At 39.3% G+C, this 23,926-nt stretch overlaps 2 long non-coding RNA genes across 7 annotated transcripts in view, besides 1 other annotated feature; one reads left to right on the top strand and one right to left on the bottom strand.

Moving 5' to 3' along the window:
* LOC105377785 (uncharacterized) overlaps positions 1-9,978 on the bottom strand; it is a 297,276-nt gene extending 287,298 nt beyond the window's left edge. For all 5 annotated transcript variants that reach the window (NR_168443.1, NR_168445.1, NR_168442.1 and 2 more), the window contains exon 1: positions 9,441-9,978. This is a non-coding gene — a long non-coding RNA (uncharacterized LOC105377785). The remainder of the gene's footprint in view (positions 1-9,440) is intronic.
* Positions 5,442-5,736: a silencer, noted in NCBI's record as "tiled region #12422; HepG2 Repressive non-DNase unmatched - State 24:Quies". NCBI's record gives its function as "represses a minimal TATA promoter and a strong SV40 promoter by Sharpr-MPRA in HepG2 cells {active_cell/tissue: HepG2}" and the evidence as "EXISTENCE:reporter gene assay evidence [ECO:0000049][PMID:27701403]".
* The window catches only part of LINC03021 (long intergenic non-protein coding RNA 3021), a 198,360-nt gene continuing 182,916 nt past the window's right edge, over positions 8,483-23,926 (top strand). For both annotated transcript variants that reach the window (NR_125425.1, NR_125426.1), the window contains exon 1: positions 8,483-8,604. This is a non-coding gene — a long non-coding RNA (long intergenic non-protein coding RNA 3021). The remainder of the gene's footprint in view (positions 8,605-23,926) is intronic.

Here is a 23,926-nt window from a genome sequence, read left to right as displayed (position 1 = left end):
TCATTTTCCAGCTTTTCCTTTTAAGTTTTTCATTTATGTTGCATTTTTGCTCTCAACTGTTTTCTCTGTCTCAGGCAGATGTAATGTTAAATAATTGCCACTAATTGTTTTCACAAATTCCTTTAAAGAGAGGGTCTTCATACTTGGAGACACTGAGTCAGGTCAACTAATTGACAAGGCCTGCAGTGGGTTTTCCAGAGAACTATCAGGCAAAAGAGTTTCAACTCTGTTCTCACTCTTTTTGAGGCAATGTAGCTCCTAGTTTTCACCATCATTGGAGAGTTTGTTGAGGATACCATGGAGATGGAGGAGGTGATGGAATACAGCATGAAAATGTTGGTTTTCTCAAGCTTTATCAGTATTCTCATGATTTTATGGGGGAGAGAATTTTCTATGGGTCCTTATTCTACCACTTATAATACTATTATTTAATAAGTAAAATCTGAATATCTCTGTTCACAAATTAGCTCCTGAAACAAGCAATTTCTAATATAAAATAAAATATAATTTCAAATAGGTCCCTAAATTTGAACACAAATATGAGGAGTTGGCAAATAAAAGAAAGATTTTCTCCTGATAGTAAATAATAATGAGACACTTTCCTTTACAAAACTATTTTTTTATAGAACTGTCTGTATTTTAGCAGCACAGTTACCAAGGTTAAATTTCTAGGAAAGGCTTTGTTGAAGCAGCTCTCAACTGTTAGTCACATTGAACATATAAATATTTCAAGATTACATTCTACTCAAGTATTTAGTTTAAACTTCTACCCAGGAAGCCATGAATAAATCTAGATAACACATGGTAGCTGAGTAATTGCGTCTTAAAATGAGAATGATTTCAATAACAGCATCTTCTATTTAACCTGAATATCTTACTTTTCCCAAGGACATACTCCTCCATGAAAATGCCCTGCTGAATATATTTACTTGACTTGATTTCACTTCCAATTTCACAGTCACATCACTGCTTCAAGTTATTTAACAACAATGGCAATATTTGGACAATACAGGCATCACTTTAAGATACTTGAACCTTGTCCTACACTCCTGAATTTTGTTAGTTTCCACATTACATCAACCTTATTCTCTAATTCCTCTGCATATGCATTCTAAAATAATTTTCTCATGATGTGCTGACAGAGTTTGAGATTTTATATTGTGTTCGGTTTAAGTAGTTCATATTCCCTGGAACCACTTTGAGCTGTATTGCTCTCATTGTCCTTCTTATCAGCCAGCTGCAGACTTGGTGCTAGTATTTCTGTTGAATATTATATTCTCTGGTAAAGAAATAGTCTATCTCCTTTCGAAATTTAGAGGATACCTGTGAGGTTTTGGACTGTTTTTTTTTTTTTAAAAAACACTCTACAATATCTTAGTTGTTAAGGTCAGAAACTAGATGTCATAAAATTTTAATTACAGCCTAAAAATATGTTCTTTTTTTCTTTCAGTTACTCTATTGAAAACTGACAATTTAAAATAATTATTTTAACATTGTCATTTTGTAATTAATTTTTATATTTCTGTATTACAAGATTGCATACATAAAATAATTGGACTCTCTTAACCTTTAGGATATGTCTATGAAATTTTAAGGAAGACAGAAACATTTAATTGTTAATTCTTTCTTATAGGAATCTATAAGACTTGCAGACTATGTGAAATGTAGTGATAGTTGTACTAGGTGAATATAGGTTACAGAGCGTTTTACTGCAGACTACAATTTGTTATGCATTATTCTCTTCTGTAATCTCTACTTTTTCCCCATTCTTTTCTTTGGATCTTTTTAATCAGGTGTTAAACAGATTCAACTCTGTCTCATCCTTGAAGTAACCAAACTTTTTAAAATTGTCAATATTCAGTGTCTTCATGTATTAATTTCCCACAATTACTAAGAAACTAAAAACTGGCAGCAAGGTGTAGTGGCTCACACCTGTAATCCCAGCACTTTGGGGGGCCAAGGCAGATCACTCAAGGCCAGGAGTTCAAGTCCAGCCTGGCCAACATGGTGAAATCCCATCTCTACTAAAAATACAAAAAATAGCCAGGTGTAGTGGCACGCACCTGTAGTCCCAGCTACTCTGGAGGCTGAGGCAGAAGAATCGCTTGAACCCAGGAAGCAGAGGTTGTAGTGGGCTGAGCTCATGCCATTGCAGTCCAGCCTGGGTGACAGGGTGAGACCCTATCTTAAAAAATAATAATAAAACAAACGAAAAACTGAATATCCTTACCATTTCATAGAAATTGCTCTTACCAAGGTTATCACTGATCTCCCTTAATCACCCCAACCTTCTTAGAGCAATCTTCCACGCTGGCTTCTAGCAGAACAACTTTATGGCCCTGTCCAGCTTCTTCAAGCACTCCTACCTCACCTACTTTGTGACATTCTCTTCTGTTCACCATGTGTCATGGAACAATCACCCTCAGAGCTGTGTCTCAAGTGATCTTTGTAGACCCGACATTTCACAGAAAACCCTGGCTACCTTGATGGCTATTTATATGATGCTAGAAACAAAGACCATAGTGTGGCCCTACCCACACCGGCTGAGGATAGAGATCTATGTCTCAGTACAGTGTTTAAATAGGAGATAAGCCTGCATATCTCTGACTTAATTTGTGAACTAAAATATGAAAAAATATTACATTTACTTGATTTTATTCTGGGGCTCTTAACTTCTTTGAACAAATTCAAACATCCGGAGTCTTCACTTGTACATTTTGACTGAGAATCTAGCTGTCTTGTAAACATATATTTTTATATGTATTGTATTATTAGTGTTAGATTAGGCAGACAGCCACACATGAGCAGGAGAGGGCGACCCCTGAGAAAAGGGAGGTCTGGAAAACTTCATACCCCAGGGACTACCTGAAGTCTGCACGCTGGGTATGAGAGGGAGGAAGGGAAATACCTAGGCAGGAAGGAATGTCCCTTGAGAGGCCCAGTGATCACTCACTCTGCAGGTAACCTGTCAAAATATCGCCAGATGCACGCTGATAAGCGGAAAACGGCAAAGAAGAACTTCCTAGGAGATAACGCTGGTGCAGTTCCTGTCCGATACCCGGCCACGCATGCGCACTGACTGACAGTAAAGGCGGGTCCCACAAGCCTGGGGTGGGGAATAGGCAGGAAAAAGGAGGGGACTTAAGGCCATAACTGTAAAACTAGACAAAGAACAAAGGTGGAGACTTAAGGCAGAGGCGGGAACTTCAAGGAAGCGTTAGTTCCACGTCATCAACACCCGACGCAGAAAACGCAGCGCTCTGGGGGGCTGCGGGCTCACGCCCCTCAGCAGCCCTCTCTGCCTCACCCTTGCAGAGCGCGCTGGGGCTCCCTATTTTCCTTCAATCAATTCTCTTTTTTTGGCTAAATCAGTCGCTTGGCAGAAAGCTTTCTCCAAGTAAGACTAATAACCAAAGACTCCTGCAGTTCCCAGTAACATTTATGTAATAGTTAAAAAAAACAACAACTTATTTCATTTTAAATTCATCAATTAAAGCCTTACTTTGAATATGCCAGTTGACATTGTCTCAAATAATAATAATAAGTCACTTGCAAATAGGTAACGTCAAGGAGATCATTTTAAACAATTAAGGTTGTTATTTGAGAGGCTTGTTTTATGTTTTCTAAGGTTTATCTTATATATACCTGATAAAGAAAAAAGAGAAAAAAGACTATTTTTTTCTCTCAGCATGTGATTTATCCCAGATATCTGTAATTTTTTTTTAAATTAGCATGATAATTTTTTGCATCTCTGGAAACGACAGTTATGAAAAAAATAATATTATTAGAAACGCTAAATTAAAAGTTATTTTCCATATGTACAGAGACAACTTATTACCTTCTGCCTCCGTTTCTACTGTTCTTTTCTACAGTCTCCTTCAAGGTCAGGCCTTCCCTAAAGATTTGCTTCTTTCAGTTTCCCCTTTCTTACAGTCATTCATACATCTCAGAATATTGCATTCAACATCTCCTCATCTAGACCATGGTCCACAGTGCCAATAGAGTCATCTTGCAACCAAAGTTAAACCGTGAAATCCCTCCACTTGAATTTGCTTAGGGACCTCTTCCTCCATTTGACTAAACTCCCAGTGCCGTGCAATGGGGTCACTTCTTGTCTTTCCACGGTCATCCTATGCACTCCTTCACCTCATCGGAGTCTGATTCCTTATCTCATGCTCAGCCTTGTGGCGGGCACGTGACAAGCATCACCTCCTGAATTTCTCATGGCACCGGCGCAAGGTACAGGCTCTTGACAACCCTGTGTTATGTGTCAGGAAACTGAAATTGAAATGAATTATCCATGGCTAAATGCATTATCCATGGCTACCAGCAGGGAAATGGAAAATATTTGAACCCCAGAACTGTTGATCGAGAATTCTTTCAAGTTTTATATTTGGCCTCTTCTCCTTAATTTAGATATTCAGTCCTATTTCCCTGATGCCTACAATGTGCCAAAGTCGCTTATACTTCTTTGCCTTTCGAGTTGCTGTTTTCTTGTCTCAAAACATCCTACTCTTGAGTTCTTTGTGCGGTTAATATTTTGTCATCCTTTAGTTCTCAGCTGAAGTGTCATATTCTCAGGTAGGAATTTTCTACCCACTTTTCCATAAGCAGAATATCCTTAGTTTCTGTCTGCTTTCACAGAGTGCTTACTGCCTATTTTTAAATTTACTACACTCTATAATTATGTTACTGATCTGGTTACTGTCACCTGATATAATTATTTAATGTGCCTGGCTTAGTGTATGTAGTTGTGCAGTAAATATTCATTGAATGAATAAACGTTAAAGGTTATGAAACTGTGACGTAAAAATCTTATGAATAAAAAATGGAAGATGGGAAAAGTCAGAAACAGCTTCATTACATGTGTAAAACACAAACCAATTATGTCCAAAGAAAAGCAAATATTATTTCCACAGAATTAATAATTTAATATTATGTGAAGTCGGGGTCATTGAATACTTGTAAATTGGCAATTGATTCTCGATATATTCCTTTAAAGTTATAATCTTCTTGAAGTTTAAGGGAAGAAAGGTGCTATGAGAGGGCACAATGGATGTTGAATAATAAATTTTTAAAAACACTTTATTCTTAGAAGTTTCACTTTGGTTTATCTTCCTTAGTTAAATTTCCTTTGTAGCAAATGTGTGTACCCTTGATCACACTGAAGAAAATTTGGATGTTGACAGCACATGGAAGCATTGTTTTCAGATATCTTCAACTTAGCAACTTTTGGATGTCAGGCTCCAAAAACATCACAGGAGGGAAAATACCCTGACTTTATTGTTTGATGAAAATTTGTGGATTGTGCAATTATTTTGGGTTTGTATGATTTGCTTTTATTTACTTTATATATTACATACAGTATAAAATGTACACTTTATCTACTTTTTATAAGTCACAATTTTATGGGTTTTGCTTTACTTATAGCGTTTTCCTCAAGCAATTCTTCAGATACTGAGCATCAGAAACCAAGTATTTGGAAACTGAGAAATGTGAGCTGAACAGCTGAGTGAATCAGACAGGGCCCTAATGAAAACATATAAAAACACTGAGATAATTCTCCTCCCAACATGAGTGTAATCCCTTTACCATAGGAAACCTTAGATTAGCCTTTGTTTTCTCTCCAGCACCTATCATAGTGTGACACATGGAGGGTGATAGCATTTTACTGGCTCAGTGAAGAAATAAAATTCCTTACCTAATTTGTTTCCCCTGTACTTAGTATTCCATAGATCTTAAATATAAATACAAATAGAAAATACCCACATATAGCCAGGTGTGGTGGCTCATGCCTGTAATCCCAGCATTTTTGGAGGCGTAGGCGTGTGGATTACTTAAGGTCAGGAGTTCAAGACCAGCCTGGCCAACATGGTGAAACCCCGTCTCTACTAAAAATAAACAAATTAGCCGGGCATGGTGGCGTGTGCCTGTAATCCCAGCTACTCAGGAGGCTGAGGCAGGAGAATCGCTTGAACCCAGGATGCAGAGGTTGCAGTGAGCCCAGATCGTGCCACTGCAATCTAGCCTGGGTGACAGAGTGAGACTCAGCTCACTGCAACACCCGCCTTCTGGGTTCAAGCGATTCTCCTGTCTCAGCCTCCCGAGGAGCTGGAATTACAGGCTCATGCCACTGTGCCCATCTAATTTTTTTTTCTTTTTGTATTTTTAGTACAGACAGGGTTTTACCATGTTGGCCAAGCTGGTCTTGAACTCCTGGCCTCAAGTGATCTGCCTGCCTTGGCTTCCCAAAGTGCTGGGATTACAGGCATGAGCCACTGCACCTGACCTCTTAGTCAAATTTCTGAGGAAATTTCTATCATTTGAAGCTGGGTTTCTAAAATTATGAAACAGCAAAAAAAAAAAAAAAAAAAAAAAAAAAAAAAAAAGTAGAACAGAAGAATACAACTCTTCCTCTCATTAATTCCCAACTTTACTCCATAGAAACAACTGCTGTCAAGCATTGTTTGTGCTCTTCAGAAATTATCTGTATTCTTCTCTCTCACTGTCTCTCTCTGCCCCTCTCTCTCTTCCCTCCTTCCTGGCTTTTTCTTCTCCTCCTCTCCCCATTCTTTCTCTTTATCCTCCTTTTTCTTCTTATTATTCTTCCTCTTTTCCCCTCTCCTAAACATCTTTTGTTTCTAATTTTCTGCATATAAGAAGCCTCCTCATTTGAACGCCTTTATCCACCTTTTAAATTAAAACTGAACTACATTCCAACATATTTGCAGTTGTTCACTTTTCTGTTTTCTCCTTTCTATTTCAAAATTATTTTTCCATTGTTGCTATGATCATACTGACTTCGTTGAACAAATTATTCTGTGTTCTATGCATTTATTTCATAATTTGAGACACACAACTTGAAATATTTATTTTTTTAATTGAGCCAAAACATATATAAGGGATCTTCAAAAAGCTGTTGGAAAATGAATGTTACGAAAACCTATGCATGAATTTTACACTTTTTCAAAATAAACTTGAACTAACTTGTTATGATATATGTGAAAAAGATCTAGATTGAGGCACTAAGAAAAGCAAGGTATCAGTTTAAAAAGAGCCCCTGTCGGAGCAATATGAATTCTGGTAAAACTGAAGCAAAAACTAACATCAAGTTTATAGTAAAACTTTGGTAGAGAAATAGTGAAATCATTGATGGTTTACAACAAGTTTATGGAAACAATGCCCCAAATAAACCAGCCATTTACAAATGGATAACTTGTTATAAGGAGGCATGAAATGTTGCTGAAGTGAAGACTGAAGCAGCAGTCTTCAGTCTTGTGAAGAAAACCTTATTCACTTGTGAGAAAAATCTTAGTTTTGTTTGTACACTAATGAATGGGACAGATGATTAACAGCACAAACAATAGCCAACATCATAGACATCTCAACTGGCTCAGCTTTCACAATTCTTTTAAAAACTAAAGTATGCTCAACTCTTCGCTTGAGTGCCAAAACCACTGTGCCAAGATCCGTTGCAGATGAGGGCAGAACTTTCGATGGAAATTTAAAAGAAGTGAAATCAAGATCCTGAAGCACAGCTTTCAAGAACTGTAACAGGATACGAAGCACGGCTTTACCAGTAAGATCCTGAAGATAAAGCACAATCAAAGCAATGGCTACCCACAGGTGGAAGTGGTCCAGCCAAAGCAAAAGTGGGTGGGTCCAGAGCAGAGGTCATGGCAACAGTTTTTGGGGATGCCCAAGGCATTTTGATTGTTGATTTTCTGGAGGGCCAAAGAATGGTAACATCTGCTTATTATGAGAGTGTTTTAAAAAAGTTAGCCAAAGCTCTTGCAGACAAACATGCCAGAAAGCTTCCCCACAGATTCCTTCTCCACCAAGGTAGTGATTCTGCTCATTCCTCTCATTAAACAAGGGCAATTTGGTGAACGTTTCAGAGGGAAATCATTAGGCATCCATCTTAGAGAACTGACGTGGCTCCTTCTGGGCTCTTTTTGTTTCCTACTCTTAAAAAATATTTAAATGGCACCCATTTTTCTTTAGATGATCATGTAAAAAAGACTGCATTGATTTGGTTAAATTCTCAGGACCCTCATTTCTTTACGAATAGACTAAATAGTGGTATCACAAGATACAAAAGTGTCTTGAGCTTGATGGAGTTTACGTTGATAAATACAGTTTATTTTTAAATACTTTTATCTTTACATTACGTTTTTCATGCATCTTTTGAAATCTCCTCAGATGCATTTTCCAAAGTGACATATTTCTTTCACTGTTTGCTTACAACGTTGCATAAGGTGCAAAGGCTGTTAAATAGCTCAAAATAAGATCTGATGGAGCTTACAAAATGGCAAATACACTTTAAGGTGCTAACAGGAAGTCCAAGAGGGAGTTTGATCTGGGCTTGGCAGAAACTGTGTCCGGAATTGGTGGGCTCTTGGTCTCACTGACTTCAAGAATGAAGCCCCAGACCCTCGCGGTGTGTTACAGTTCTTAAAGGGGGCGGGTCCGGTGAGTGTTACAGTTCTTAACGGCCGCGCGTCCAGAGTCTGTTCCTTCTGATGTTCGGATGTGTTCGGAGTTTCTTCCTTCTGGTGGGTTCGTGGTCTCGCTGGCTCGGGAGTGAAGCTGCAGACGTTTGCGGTGAGTGTTACAGCTCGTAAAGGCCGTGTGGACCCAAAGAGTGAGCAGCAGCAACATTTATTGCAAAGAGTGAAAGAACAAAGCTTCCACAGTGTGGAAGGTGACCCAAGCGGGTTGCCACTGCCGGCCAGTCCCGCGTCGTGCGCGCGCACTCCTCAGTCCTTGGGCGGTCGGCGGGACTGGGCGCCGAGGAGCAGGCAGCCGCGCTCGTGGGGGAGGCTCGGGCTGCGCAGGAGCCCACAGCCGGGAGGGGGCGGGGGAGGCTCAGGCGTGGCGGGCTGCAGGTCGGAGCCCTGCCCTGAGGGGAGGCAGCTCAGGCCCGGCGAGAAATCGAGCACAGCAGCTGCTGGCCCAGGTGCCAAGCCCTTCACTGCCCGGGGCTTGCGGGCCGGCCTGCCGCTCCGAGTGGGGCGCCCACCGAGCCCACGCCCACCGGGAACTCGCGCTGGCTGGGAAACGGCGCGCGCAACCCCGGTTCCCGCCCGCGCCTCTCCCTCCATACCTCCCCGCAAGCCGAGGGAGCCGGCTCCGGCCTTGACCAGCCCAGAAAGGGGCTCCCACAGTGCAGCGACGGGCTGAAGGGATGCTCAAGCGCGGCCAGAATGGGCGCCAAGGCCGAGGAGGCGCGGAGAGCGAGCCAGGCCTGCCAGGCCTGCCAGCACGCTGTCACCTCTCAGAACCACCTCAACAACGTGCATTTTTATTCATGATGCTGGTGACCTACTTATCTATATGATCACTACAACAGTATGGAAAGAGTCTGAGTTTTCAAAATTCCCCGAAGCAATTTCGAATACTGAAGTTATTTTGAATATACATATATAAATTTTACTCACTGTGCAGGAGATTTGTGTCCTCCCCCGAGTTCTGGCCAGGAGACTTCTCACGCTGTTCGAATTGTTACAAAGTTCAGCTAGAGATTTCCTTCTCTCCGTGTAGTTTTACCCTCTGTTCCTCTCCCGTTGGATCCCTGTGGTGCCAGGCAGGAATGGGCTGCCCGGGGACCCATTCAGCTCCCAGGGCCTTGCTGCTGCCTCCTCTATCCCTGTATTTCAGTCAGCTCTCCAGACTGACTCAGCTCCAGGTAAAGTCGGAAACTTCTCCCACAAATAGACTTCTCAGGGGGTGTCTGTTCCGGAGAGGAGGGTTTCCCTTTCCCACTTCGGCAGCTGGACACTCACAGTTTTGGGGGTCTCCCGGGTCCTGCAGGAGCAGCCCACTTCCTTCAGAGGGTCTGTGGGTCCTCTGGGGATTGCTGGTTTGTTTTTGCCGTCCATCTGGAGCTAAAGTTTACAATGCGAGCTCCCACTCGCTGCTCTGTCCAGAGCTGCAGGCTAGTCTTGCCTCCCGTCCGCCATGATCTCTCCTTCCTCTTTTTAATGGACAGAAATACACATCTGTCGGCCACTTGAAGATTTTCTATTGCCCGCTAATGCTCTTTTTATTTTAAAAATTCTCTGATCTGCATTTTATTTGGCATAGTTTCTTTTGCTGTATATTCCCATTCAATAATATATTCCTCTTCAATATCTAATGTTTCACAAATGCTAACCACCATATTTTCATATCAGACTTTTTAGTTTTTACCTCCTGAAATGTGACTTGGGTTTTTTGTTGTATAATTTTTATGTCCGTCTTTTTAAATAAATGAGGAAAAATCATAATAAATATTTTAATTTCCTTTTTGTTGTAAAGCACATCATTGCGAATTTTGGATTAGTTTTGATGGGTCAATTTTTCTTCTCTTTCTGGATTGTATTTCCTGCTTCTTTTCCTGCCTAGTAATCTTTGATTGCATGCCAATCATTGTGATTTTTACTTTGTTGTTTGGTGCATATTTTGGTATTTCTATTAAAATGTTGAGCTTTATTGTAAGATTCACTTAAAGATTGTAATAAGTTTGATCCCCTGGGTATTTCTTTTAACATTTTTAAGGTGTGATCAGAGAAAAAAGAGTCTAGGGATAATTATTTTCCAGTACTGAGCTAAGACTATTTTTTATATTCTACCTAATGCTCCTTAAATTGTTTTCAAATTTGGCTGAAGGGAACAGACACCATTTGCAGCCCTATATAAGTATCATATATTGTGCCCATATATTTCAGATGATTTTTTTTTTTTGGGCTTTTGGAATTTTCTTTACACAAATGTTCTGCTCAATATTCTGCTAAAGATGCCAAAGGATCGCTATGCAGAACTCCAGATTTTTTCTCTCCATGAAGCCCTCCATTACTCTGTCCTGTTAATTTTAGCTGCACTGTTTCCTGCAAACCCTCAGCCTTGCCTGGTTCTGCTTCCCTTTGTCACAGGTTGGAGACTCACTCAAGACAGTTACCTGGGAAAATCATACAGCCCACCTGATTTGTGTGGCAACATAAGGCGACTTATATTGCCTGGTATCAGTGTCTTGAAAAGTTTTATTTCAATTATTTTATAGTACACTATCTTGGCTGATCTGATTTTTGTCTGGGGTGACAGACAAAATTATCCCTCCTTCATAGTCTTTATATACCAAATTTAATATGATTCATGCTACTGACTCATCTCTTGTTTCTAAGGACACCATATTTTATAAGTCATCCCATAACTACTTGTTATAACTACTTGTTTCTAAGGACACCATATTTTATAAATCACCCTGTAACTACCTTGCTCAGGTTCGCTGGAAGTAGCAGAAAAAGTTGAGCTGCTACCCAGAAAAAATAACAACCCAAGGAAATTTAGAATATTATAATGGCCTTTTAGAATTGTTTTATGTTTGCCATAATAGCCAGACCTTTATATTTTCATATTGATCAACAGCAGGTGTAAACTGCTTTCAGAAGACAGCTCTTGACAGTTCAGGCAATATCTGCAGGATTTGACAGCTAAGAGATATCTGCTGCAGGTACTCCAGAGAAGGGCACCAAGTCCTTCAGAAAAGGGGAATTCAGATGGAACATCACAGGTTGTGCCGCGTCATGTCCTGTGAAGAAAGGTTTAGGATTTAGAGATATTGAGCTTCCAGAAGGCACTGCCAAAGGAGTAGGGAACATTTGAGAGTCAGTTTCAAACCTTTGGAGATTTGTCATGTAGCAGAAGGAGTATGTTTTTCTATTAATTAAAAGTTATATCTCAAGTCTTAGGTCTAGGAAATACAATTCTAAACCAAAATGTTCTGCATGTCAGTAATGAAGCTTAGATTCAGGCACCTGGCAAGATCCATTAATGAAATGTGGACCTCCAGCAGGAACGTGGCCTGCAGGATGTCTGAGTCCCCTTGCAAATGTAACATCCCTCTGGCCTTACATTCCCTCAACTCCTGTGCCACATTCTTTCCAGGATCTTGTAAACTTTACATGGCAAATACATAAAGATTTATGTGCATAAATAAAAATGTGCCCACTTGTTAGTTTGCTCACCTGAACTAAGGCAGGTCTGTGTATCTTTTATTGTTCCATGAGCAACATTAAATATTTCTTACCTGTGTTTCTTACCCAATCATTAATACTCTTTTGGTAAACATGTCTGGGAGCAGTGTTGAATCCCCTTGCAATTAAATCTCTCTCAGTGTGGATTCTTTTATTTCCATCTGCTTTGTTTTGACATGTATATTTCCCTTTGGGAGCTATTTTCAGGAAAAACTAGAAAATCCTAGATTAAGAAAAATATTGCATCAACTCCCTCTCTGCAATGGTGCCTGCTTTTCACTCTATATTTCAGGGTAAATTTATAATATGTCTAATGATTTTCATTGGGCTCTGGTACACTTGAAAGAAAGCAGCACTGAGGCATAAATCTAACATGTACGTAATATATTTTTTCTGTATGTAAAGAAGCAAATCTCATCAAAGATCTCGGTTGAATAATAAATGTCCAGTTGTTCTTCATTTGTGTCTAATGAAACAACTGGCGGTGTGTTATACAAGATGACAGGAGTTATCCAGCAAAACCTTAGGTTTCACAGTGTATGTGGGCATATTTTAATACTGAAGGATTCTTGATAATTTACATCGTTTTTTTTTTTTTGAGACGGAGTCTCAATGTCGCCCAGGCTGGAGTGCAGTGGCGCGATCTCGGCTCACTGCAGGCTCCGTCCCCCGGGGTTCACACCATTCTCCTGCCTCAGCCTCCCGAGTAGCTGGGACTACAGGCGCCCGCTACCTTGCCCAGCTAATTTTTTGTATTTTTAGTAGAGACGGGGTTTCACCATGTTAGCCAGGACGGTCTCGATCTCCTGACCTCGTGATCCGCCCGCCTCGGCCTCCCAAAGTGCTGGGATTACACGCGGGAGCCACCGCGCCCGGCCACGTAATTTACATCTTAACCTTTGTGCAACAGAAATATTATTTTGTATGCCTTTATATACATTTTTTCTGCTGAATACTGATGAGTTGTAACTTTGATTCACAAAATGACTTGTTCCTGAAACTGTCAGAAAAAAATAAAGCCAAACTTCTTGTTCGAAAGCAAAGATGACACTCATGTGAATCACCATTAAATTGGCTCATTGGGATAAGAGCCGACATGAGATAAGTTGTGAGGGTTTATGTGAAAATGTACAAGACCTCTTCCCAGAAAAGTAGTAAGTAAAGCTTTCCCAGGTTTTACAAACATATGTGTTTTATAAAAAATTGTAGTATGAAGGCATCTCTTTGGAATACAATCTTCCATTTTCTTCTGCTCCCATAGTTTTTCCAGTAGCAACATATTTTGCATTCATGTTTATTTACTTGTTAGAGGACATATCTGCTAGTTCTTGGGAAAAATGATACTTAAATGTTTATAGTTTCATAACGGAATGCTCTTCCCCATAAAGAAATTCCCTGCAGAATGTAATGCAGATTTCTGTAATATGGGTGGGTCTCATCCAAACAGTTGAAAGTCTTCAAAGCAAATAATGAGGTTCCCCAAAATTAGAGGAAATTCTGCCTTCAGACTGTACTATAGAAATTCTGCCTAAGATTCCAGCCTTCATACTAAAGACTGTCACCTCAACTGTCACCTAAATAAATAGCCAGCCCACTGGCCTGCCCAGTAAACTGAGCCATTTTCTCAAAATATAATAAATATCAATCTCTCCTCTCTCTCTCTGTCTCTCTATATGTCTATGTAAATATATGCAAATATATATACATATATACATATATATACATATATACACATATATACATATATACATATATATACATATATATACACATATATATATATATATGAGTTTTAGACAAACTTTATAATGACTTTTTCATAGAGTGGCTTACCAAATATGTATATTGTGGTTAAAAATTAGCTGGTCCCTATCCAGAAATAATTCAGAGCACAGATGAATGAACTATGATGCTTTTATATGAACAAGAATGACAAAGATAAAAAGTAATATATTATTACCATCAACATTGATATTAAATAAAAATCCATCTTGGTTAAAAAAATTTGCATGACTATATATATATATAGTTTTGTATTCATTCATCTCTTTCTCTCTCCCATTGGTTCAGTTTCTCTGGAGAACCTTGACTAATACAGTGCCTCTTATGTCTGTCCGTGTTCCGGAAGCACTCTGGTCCATGCTTGAACACTTTTCTTCAATCCATACAGCTGCCAAAGGCTGCCAGCATTGACTGGGGCTCAGAGCAAGAAAGAGCCCTCAGCAGTCCCAGGGTTAGGTTTAAAGAACAGAGCTGCTAGCCATCACCGCTTCTCAGACCTTGGCTGCTGCACTCATCCACTTGCCATGGTGTTTTGGAAACTAAGTCCCGAGGAGCATCCATATGCATGACCTGCATGCCCCTATGTGACAATAGCCCTAACTCCTCCTGATGATTTGGGGTGCTTATTACCTCTGCAAGAATAATGTCTTTTATTCTTGCCTGCTGGTCCTTAGCACAAGGTTATAGAGTAAAATTTCAGCTTCTCTATCCTTGAATAAAGTCTTTCCCTTTGAGAATAAGGACCTCCAAACTGCAAGCCCAGGGTTTCAAGAAAAAGAATCACAGCTTTGTCGAGTAGGTCACCGGCAGTAAAAACAGGAGAGGCCACTCCTGCTTCTCGATGTCTTCCTCTTAGAGACTTAGCATCCACCCTGCCGAAGTGTCTACTTCAACCTGGAGAATAATATCTCATTTTTGTAAAGTCTGGTCTCTTGCCAGCTCATCACCTGTGCAAAGGTCATCTCAATGCTGTAATAGGCACCTGTTTTTGTGCTGCTGGAGTCTGTGATAAGAACATTGTATCCCGGAGCACGAGACCCATTTCCCATTTACTTTGCTGTAAAGTGGGTCCTCGTTCTGAGGGGCTGCTCTGTGAGATCTCCTATGATGGATCAAATCCTCAGAGGGCAGTGATGGCCGAGTGCCTGAAGCCATAAAGATCACACATTCAGAATGTGTGCCAATTCCAATCAAGATGAACCACTGCCGATTCTCACATAGAAGGAGACTAATTTAATCAACTTTCTACCACGATAGATTTTTATTTAATATCAATACTGATGGTAATAATATATTACTTTTCATCTTTGTCAGCCTTCTTCATATAAAAGCAGCATAATTCATTCATTTGTGCTCTGAATTACTTCTGTACAGGGACCAGGTAATTTTTAGCCACAATATACATATATGGGAAGCCACTCTATGAAAACGTCTTTATAAAGTTTGTCTAAACCTCTATAGTAACAAATTCAACCCTTTCAAATATGATAAGTGTAAAGAGGGTGAAATCAGAGGCCTCTCTAATGTACAGGTTTATCCCCACAGAGAAATCTAAATACATGACCACAGTTTGAGCTCCTGTCTGAAGAGATTTTTTAAAGGCTGTTTTCTCATTAAAGCTGGGATTTTCATCATGCTGAGTTCAGAGGTATGTTCCTAATGATCACATGTGCATGGTCATCTTCCCTTTGTGCTTTAATAAAATTCGTTATTTAAATACCAATATATCAAAAGGGAGCATTTCACTTTTGCTTTTTGTCGTATAATATATCTAATTTACAATACTCATATCCAAGACCTTCTGTTAAAATTACAAGTATAATAGTGAGTCCATTAGGGCTGAGCTTCATCTCCTAAGGTCTCTCAGGATAAGCATAATAATGGCAGAATTAGAGACACACAGTCCTAATGAAATCTACTGGATAACCCCTGAGCTAGTCTTGCAATGTTTTGACAAAAAGGAATTACTTTCTTTATTTTGCCCGAGGGCTATATTTCCAGCCAAAAAAAGTAAAAAATAAAAGTTACAGAATACATGTTGAATTAAATGTGTAAATGGATGGGAAAGCCTGACTACTAAACAGTCACATAAACTCAAACTGAGATTAATGGCTCAGTTATTGCTGAAATGAAGAATAAAGAGAAGTGTTTCCTTAACGTCTAAATTGCTGCTTTAAATTATCACAAACATGCCAAAACATTATGCTGTTTTAAGAATTATGAATAATTCAGTTTGACTCACAATGATTAAAGATTTGACATAAAAACAGGGAGAGAGAAGTTATATTTGCTTATAAGAAGGTTTTTATTGTAGCAAATGTTATTGTCTGAAATAAAACTGCACACCATGCATGGGCTTTCTAGGAGTTTATTTTTAAAAAGTGTTTGTTTGGGGATGTGGCACACGTGTCTATTGCCTGTCTGCAGCCCTGTTGAGCCAGACCGAAGCAGTCCTCACAGACACAGAGGGAGGGAAGAGCAGAGGTGTGTTTAACTCCATTTGCCCCAGTAGGCATTGCTGTCAGAAAGTTAGGGTCCAGGGGTCTCACCTGCATTACTCCGAGCTCTCTATATTCTGACGGGGAGAAATGTCACACAACTGGAGAATGTCATCCGCTACAGTCTAGGACCTTGCAGCCAGGAGAGAGACTCTGAGCCTGGAATTGATCTCCTAGGAAATGAGTAGAGATGGAAGAGCTCTGAGGAATGCTCTCTGGGACACGTCACCATCTAGAAATTGGAAAAAGGTGTCAAAGCCATGAAAATGCACAAGAAGAAATAGCCGGTGAGAGAAGAAAACCAGGTGTGTGCGTGCTCCTAAGAGCCAAGGCGGGAGGGAGTTTTAGGAAGGGGGAAGCCTCAGAAGTGGTCAATGCTGTTATAATGTTGACGCAAGTTTTGGTGGGAGAAAGACCAACTGACTGTTTGCAATTGGATGGCATGAACCATGGAGATTATTCACGCTCACCACTGGCTAAAATGTGTGATTGCTGTGATGGGGATGAAAGTGTGATTGGAAAAGTTTTGAAGAAAGTGAAAAGTGAGGATGTGGAGACAGAGATAGATAACTCCCGAGGATTTTTGCAGAACGGAGATTTCTGGAGACGGATGAATCCATTGGTGCACATTCCCTCTTGTGTAAGGAAAGGGTTCCCACAGAGAGGAAAACTAAACATACCATAAAAATGAAAGACTTCTAGAACAATCTGAAGCAGGTGACAGAGAGAGCATGAGATCTTGTGGAAAAAAAATTCCCAAAGAGGGATTACTAACAGTTTATTGTGAGAAGAGAGAAGACAATGTGGGTGGATTGTAAGTGTGATGATGAGAACTTAAGAGCGTTCTCTTGTCTGAGTCAACTCAGAAGCAAATTCAACTTCTGAGAGTAAAAAGGAGGAGTCAAATATCCTCATTTTAAAAAGTGTGAATTAATATGAGGAATCGATGAGGCAAAAATAATGAGGATTGCCAGGCAACGCAGGGAGCCAAACACACTCTGTGTTTCCCATGTTTACTCAGCACTTCTCAGTGTGTATGCCCAGAAAACCAAGTGTGGCTTCTGCTCAGATCTAGCCGCAGAATACAGAACTGGAATAAGCTGGATGTCTTTGCATAGATAAATGCAAAAATATTTGCATATTTGCTCACATACATATTATTTTCTATTGGTGAGCTTATTCTATGCATCCTATTTGCAATCTGCTTTGTAGTCACTCAAAAATATATCCTGAACATATTTCTACATAAAGTGAAGAAATAGAGTACAGCATTACTTTAAATGGTTGCAGTGTATTCCACAATATGTCTATAACTAACCTGTTATGTTGGGTAGTTATTTATATTTCCCTTTTCCCATTATCGAAATAAACTATCGGTGAACAGCTTTGTGCATGTATCAGACTTTTTTATATAATCAATATATAAAATTTTTATATGTTTATTATATAAAAGCATGTGTTATTTCATAGTCTACTAAAATTTCAAAAACTATCAATTAGTAATACTACTATTTTTCCTATTTTACAAATTAAGAAACTGAGGCATGAAAGGTTGACTTAACTTGGTCCAGATCACACAGATATTCAGAATTATACTTTGAATCCACAGTAGTCTCTGGAGCCCATGATCCAAACCAGAACTCTCTTTCCTCCAAATTTTATAGTACATTCTCCTATAAGTACACTAGTTCTTCCTGAAATCAGTGTTTTTCAAATATATGCATTCTCTTTACTTATGGTCACATGCATGGCATAGCTACAGAATTCTATTGATTTAGAATCATACTGAAATGAGGGGATGGGAATGCGTATTAACAGAGTTAATATTTCTGCAGAAAAGTGAACCTCTGAGAAAACATAAAGAAACAACTTGGTAAAAGTAATCTGCTAGATAAATAGATCATTTATTTTAGAGCTTTTTCAAAATGTGTTTTATCTCATGTATTTCTAAGGAATTACATTTTTTACCTTTTTATTAATTTAAAAAGTTATAAAAAGCCTTTATCACTACAGTTACTGGTTAGCGTAAATACGGTAGACTTTTACATGCTTGCAATTAAAATAGATTATTTTTGCTCTCAACATATCTATTTAAAGGGTTTTGTACTCTGCTGTTGTCCAAAAAAAATTATTTGTGACAGAATCATATTGAAAGGGTTGATAAAAATCCATTTTGGTTCAGAGTTTAAAACTACCATATATTTGTGTATGGTAAAACGTATTGGCACTCAGAATAACTTGTCTTAGAGAAAAATGGCTGTTGCCCACAAAATCAATCTCTTGTGCAATCAATTTTTTTAATATTATGATTTACTGAAAGCTATGGTGTCCTGACTTCAATACCCACAGCAACTTAAATTTAGTTTCTTGGAGACTTAGACAAACAAAAAGTTCAACTCAATTTAAAGAAAAAGCCCAACTCTGTTTTACTCACAAAGAAAATCTTGCTATGATGGAATGACCTAATGTAATTAAGTATGAAGTAATATAATTACAGGATAGTGTATAGTGTATATATTTGTGTATATGCACACACAGACACACACACACACACTGAAGATGCTTCCTTTCAATGCTGCGTTTTTAGTGTCTAGTCTCATAATGATAAGAGCTAGCTTTAATAAACATCTATGTTTATTAAAACTATAATAAACTGTAAATTAAAACTATAATAAACATCCGTGTTTATTAAAACTATGACTTCTGAAAGTACTTTTCAAAATTAAGATTTTTTCATGGGTATTTTTAAAAGATTAAATTGGTGATGTAAAGTTTCAGGGTGGTTTTTCCTTTCTCAGTTTGAATATTATCAACTGTGATTTTTCTGTGTTTGGAGAGTCCCTTTCTCCTACACGAGGAGACTGAGTTTCTCAAGGGCAAGCTGCTTATTTTCTTCATCTCTCTACTGTGAGCCTATCACCATAGCTGGTTTATAACAGGGGCTCAATGATCTATCAACTAAGTAATTGATTGACAGTTTCTAGAGAACGTCTTCCTTGTTTCCATTTTTGTTGTTGTTGCTGTCAAAACTTTAAATTTTTGTTCTTTTCCATTAACGGCTTGACAATAATGTTTTAAATTATGATCCAATCTTTTCATTTATCAAATTGTTTTTAAAGTCAGGGTGATTATTGCTATTCTTCCATAAAAGGTGAAAGGTCAGACACTATAATTTGTCTTTTAAGAGATAAGGTATTTACCTGATGTCCAATTCAGGTAAAGTGGGTACAGGAGGGGAGGAGAGAGCTTGCATCCAGGATCTTAATGGCCCAGGTTCCAATGCAGGAGTGGAAAGCGTTTGGCAGTTATTACCATGGTGTGTTTCTTGGCAGTTACCCAACTCAATGCCCTATATCCCTCACAAAGCAGCTGTATCTGTGAATCTTTATCCAAATTATAAAAAGAAAGAGGGTGATCCAGGATGCAAAGCCTGTTACATTAGCAAGCAAAGTAAACTAATGATTGGCATTATAAAATTCAAAATGGTGGCAAGAGAAGCCCGGGGGAATTTCCTGAGGCGGAGTTGCTGGTGGTGTTTGGATGTTTACGAAGAGGCTTTCCTTCACCCCTGATATCATGTGTGTGTCAGTTTTCGGGGCTGGGTTATACGTTAGGAACACACACACAAGGAGCAGTCGGGAAAAAATGGACCAAATATTTTCAGGGACTTAGAAATAAGGAAATCAAGTGGTCCGCGGTCCACTTTATTGGTTAACAGACTCAGCCGAAGTGAACAAATTGAGTGAGTTGAATATTTGTGTAGTTAGTAGTTTTCCAGTTTCACTTGGATAATTTGGGAGCAAAATCAGTGTGAAACGCTTCATAACTCCTCCAGAATTTGAGAGGGGTAATTTTTATTCTCTGTGTAAGATAACTGAAGAGTGCCTGACACTTGTAGCTATTCCATCTGTGTTGAAGGTGGAAAATGCATGAACGCCGTGACGAGAATTTTGCGATGCAAACATCAGTCAACAGTCATGTACCAATACCATGGTATTAAGCAGCAATATATATAAGGCTTTATATCACAAATATTAAACACCAGAATCAGTTAGTGGATAACCAGCAGATAACAATACTTATTGGAAGGAGCTGTGATAAACAGACAATAACAACAACAAAACCGCCAAGGATAAAAGCCCTGGCCAGGTGAAGAGCAAAAGTACTCAAGGAATCCAGATGAGAAGACCTACTGAGTGTGTTTGTCCATTAGGATAGCGGATAAGTTACTGACAACCAGTTTTAGTCCATGATGACACTTTATTTTCAAGTTAAATGTCAGGAAAAGAAGGACTGATTGGCTGAACTAAAATTAGGTGCCAACCACTTTTCAAAGGAGGAAGGGCATCTGGAATAGTGACTGTAACAAGATTGCCTACCAAAGGGCAGGGACAACTCCCTAAGGCAAACTCACCTGCTGCAGTGAAAAGCATGAGACCCAGAAACCTGGAGATAAAATGGAGTGACAACCCTTAAAATATCACGATTCCTAACTCTTGGAAAGTTTAATTCAGAAACCATCAAAATGTCCATTTAACAACGAAAAAAAAAAGTAACCATTATTTTGCTAATTCTTAGCATTATTTTATTGTTTTTGGATATTCACATTGAGATGATATATCATAGTTAAATTGCAAAATAACAAGACAAGAAGATCCTAAAATTAGAGAAAAAATAACTGAATAGGACTTAAAAAAACAAACACATGTACTATTGATTTTATACTATATAGTGATATGGTTTGGCTGTGTCCCCACCCAAATCTCACCTTGAATTGTAATAATTGTAATAATCCCCACATGTCAAGGGTGGGACCAGGTGGAGATAATTGAATCGTGGGGGTGGTTTCCCCCCATACTGTTCACGTGATAGTAAGTCTCATGAGATCTGATGATTTTATAAGTGGGAGTTCCACTGCACAGACTCTCTTTACCTGCTGTCATGTAAGATGTGACTTTGCTCCTCATCTTCCTTCTGCCATGATTGTGAGGCCTCCCCAACCACGTGGAACTGTGAGTCCATTAAAACTCTTTGCTTTATAATTACCCAGTCTCGGGTATGTCTTTATTAGCAGTGTGAGAACATACTAATACAGAACAAATTTCCAGAAAATATTTTGCAGAAAACACTTTTTGATCAAATTAGGAGATCCTAATTTTGTGGACACTTTGATCAGTGAAGGACTTCCGGGCTCAGCTGAAATATGTAAAATGCTTGGAGGCTGGTGCTTATTTCCTGGCAACAAGAAACAGCTGGACACATTGAAACCACTGTCTTTTCTTTCATCCATCAGGGAACTTAGAGCACAAAGTGCACAGCCATCATAGAATCTGGAGACAGAGGAGAATCCAGAGTCACAGCCCAGATCTGCTTCCATGGGACCGTTAACTGGTTGGGTCACTTGAATGGCAACTCTGATGAACCAGGAAGACTGGGTATAGATGTGGATGAGTGACAAACTCTTGAAAGTGGCCGTTATGGGGCTTGCACACGTTTCTGGGCTTTACCAGAGAAACACCACAGTACATTTTCATGGTGAAGATCTGAGAACGATTCTCTGCTGCCTCTGGCAAGGGCCAGAGAGAGAAATGAGCTCCGGGCCCCCTCCATTAGGAAGGCCTACTTTCCAGGAGAAGACTGGCCCAGAGCCTTGTCCAGAGCCACGTGGAATGGCATCTTCTCCAGACCATGTCCCCAGCCTTTCTGTCTCACACAAGGGGCAGGGAAAGTGGAAGAAAGCCACACAGGACCCTCAGGCTAAGGTCATCACAGGCCCTCTGAGATAAATAGATTAAACTGGGGTATCATAGCGTGACCCCTCCTCCTCTCCTCACCATCACATAAACAGAGCTCCCTTGCAATCAAAATATATAGCGCGTTTCAGTGAAAAGAGCTGCAGGTCAGACACTCAGAGAGGGCCAGCTCAAGAGCAGAGACACAAACAAGGCCACTAGAGGAGCTTGCAGTTTCTTCAGCAAACACAGAGCAAAGCCTGGCAACTACTCAGATTAACATACCTCTTGATAGTAGAAGCCGATTCTCCTCAGTTCCTATTACCTGATCCGTGAGTTCTTCCAGTAAAAATTGGGCCAAAGCAAAGGACAAGAAAAAATAAAAACAGTCTGAAGAAACGAAACCTCAGAAACAAAGTCAGGTATGACACAGATGTTGGAATTATCAGAAGGGAATTAAAACAACTGGTAAATATGTAAACGTTCTCATGAAATAAGTAAACAACGTGCAAACACAGATGGATAATGTAAGCAGTGTAAAAGGAAAATGAATCTTGGGGTCCCAAAATCACAAAGCCAAAAGGAAAGTCAAGCTGGGAACTGCTTAGGGCAAACCTGCCTCCCATTCTACTCCTAAAAACGATAGCTACTAAGGTGTTTTTGTTTTTGTTTTTGTTTTTGTTTTTGTTTTTAACAAAAGCTACATACTTCCCTCACAATTTGTCCACAAGGAAATCCCTTGTGGACAAAGGACAGACAGATCCAAGTCATCCCTCTGCTCACTGAGATAAATGCATATCTGATTGCTTCCTTTGGAAAGCTTAACCAGAAACTCAAAAGAATGCAACCGTTTTTGTCTTATCTACCTATGACCTGGAAACCCCGTCCCCACCTCGAGTTGCCCGGCCTTGCTGGATGGAGCCAATGTATGGCTTACATACATTGATTGGTGCCTCATGTCTCCTTGAAATGTATGAAAGCAAGCTGTTCCCTGACCACCTGGGGCACATGTCGTCAGGACCTCCTGAGGCTGTGTCACGGATGTGTGTCCTTAACTTTGGCAAAAATAAACGTTCCAAATTGACTGAGACTGTCTCAGGTATTTGGGATTCACAGCAGAGATAACGAACTTCTAAGAAAGGCAGAAAATGCTAGAACATATAAAACAGAAATAAAGAGTACCTTGGACACGCTTATCACTAGACTTCACACATCTGAAGAAAGAATTACTGAGTTTGAAGATGGGTAAAGGGCAAGTTCTCAAAGTGAAATGATGAGTGAAGAAAGAATGGGGAAGGTGTGGGGAATCAGAACAGAATATACCAGAACTCTGGGACAATTTCAGAATGTGTAACGTATACGTAATTGGAACACTAGAAGAAGGAAAAGAGAAAATAGGGCCAAATAAATATTTGAAGTAATACTGATAATTTTTTTATTAATGGAAGGCAGAATCTAAGAGAACTGAAATGAAGACTAGATAATACAATACTAAGAGTTGGAGAATTTAACATGCCTCTTTAAGATGAAGCAGACAGAAAATCAATAAGGACGCAGTTGGAGTAAACAGCATGAACAATTGACCTGATAGCTTGACATTTATAAAATACTCCATCTACAACAGCAGGATACACATGGGTTTCAAGCTCCCATGGAACATTCACCAAGAAAGACCACATTCTGACCCACAAAACACACATGAACAAATTAACAATAATGGCAATTGTACAGAGTAATGTTCTCAGAGGACAATGGAGTTAAATTAGAAATCAGTAACAGGAAGGTAGCTAAAAAATTCCCAAATATTTGGGAATTTAGAAACTTACTTCTAAATAGCATATGGGTAAAAAATGGAAATCTCCAAATAAATTTAAAGATATTTTGAACTAAATGAAAACAA

Source organism: Homo sapiens, chromosome 8 (genome assembly GCF_000001405.40).
Source record: "Homo sapiens chromosome 8, GRCh38.p14 Primary Assembly".
NCBI lineage: Eukaryota > Metazoa > Chordata > Mammalia > Primates > Hominidae > Homo > Homo sapiens.
This window is presented reverse-complemented; position numbering and strand designations above follow the sequence as displayed.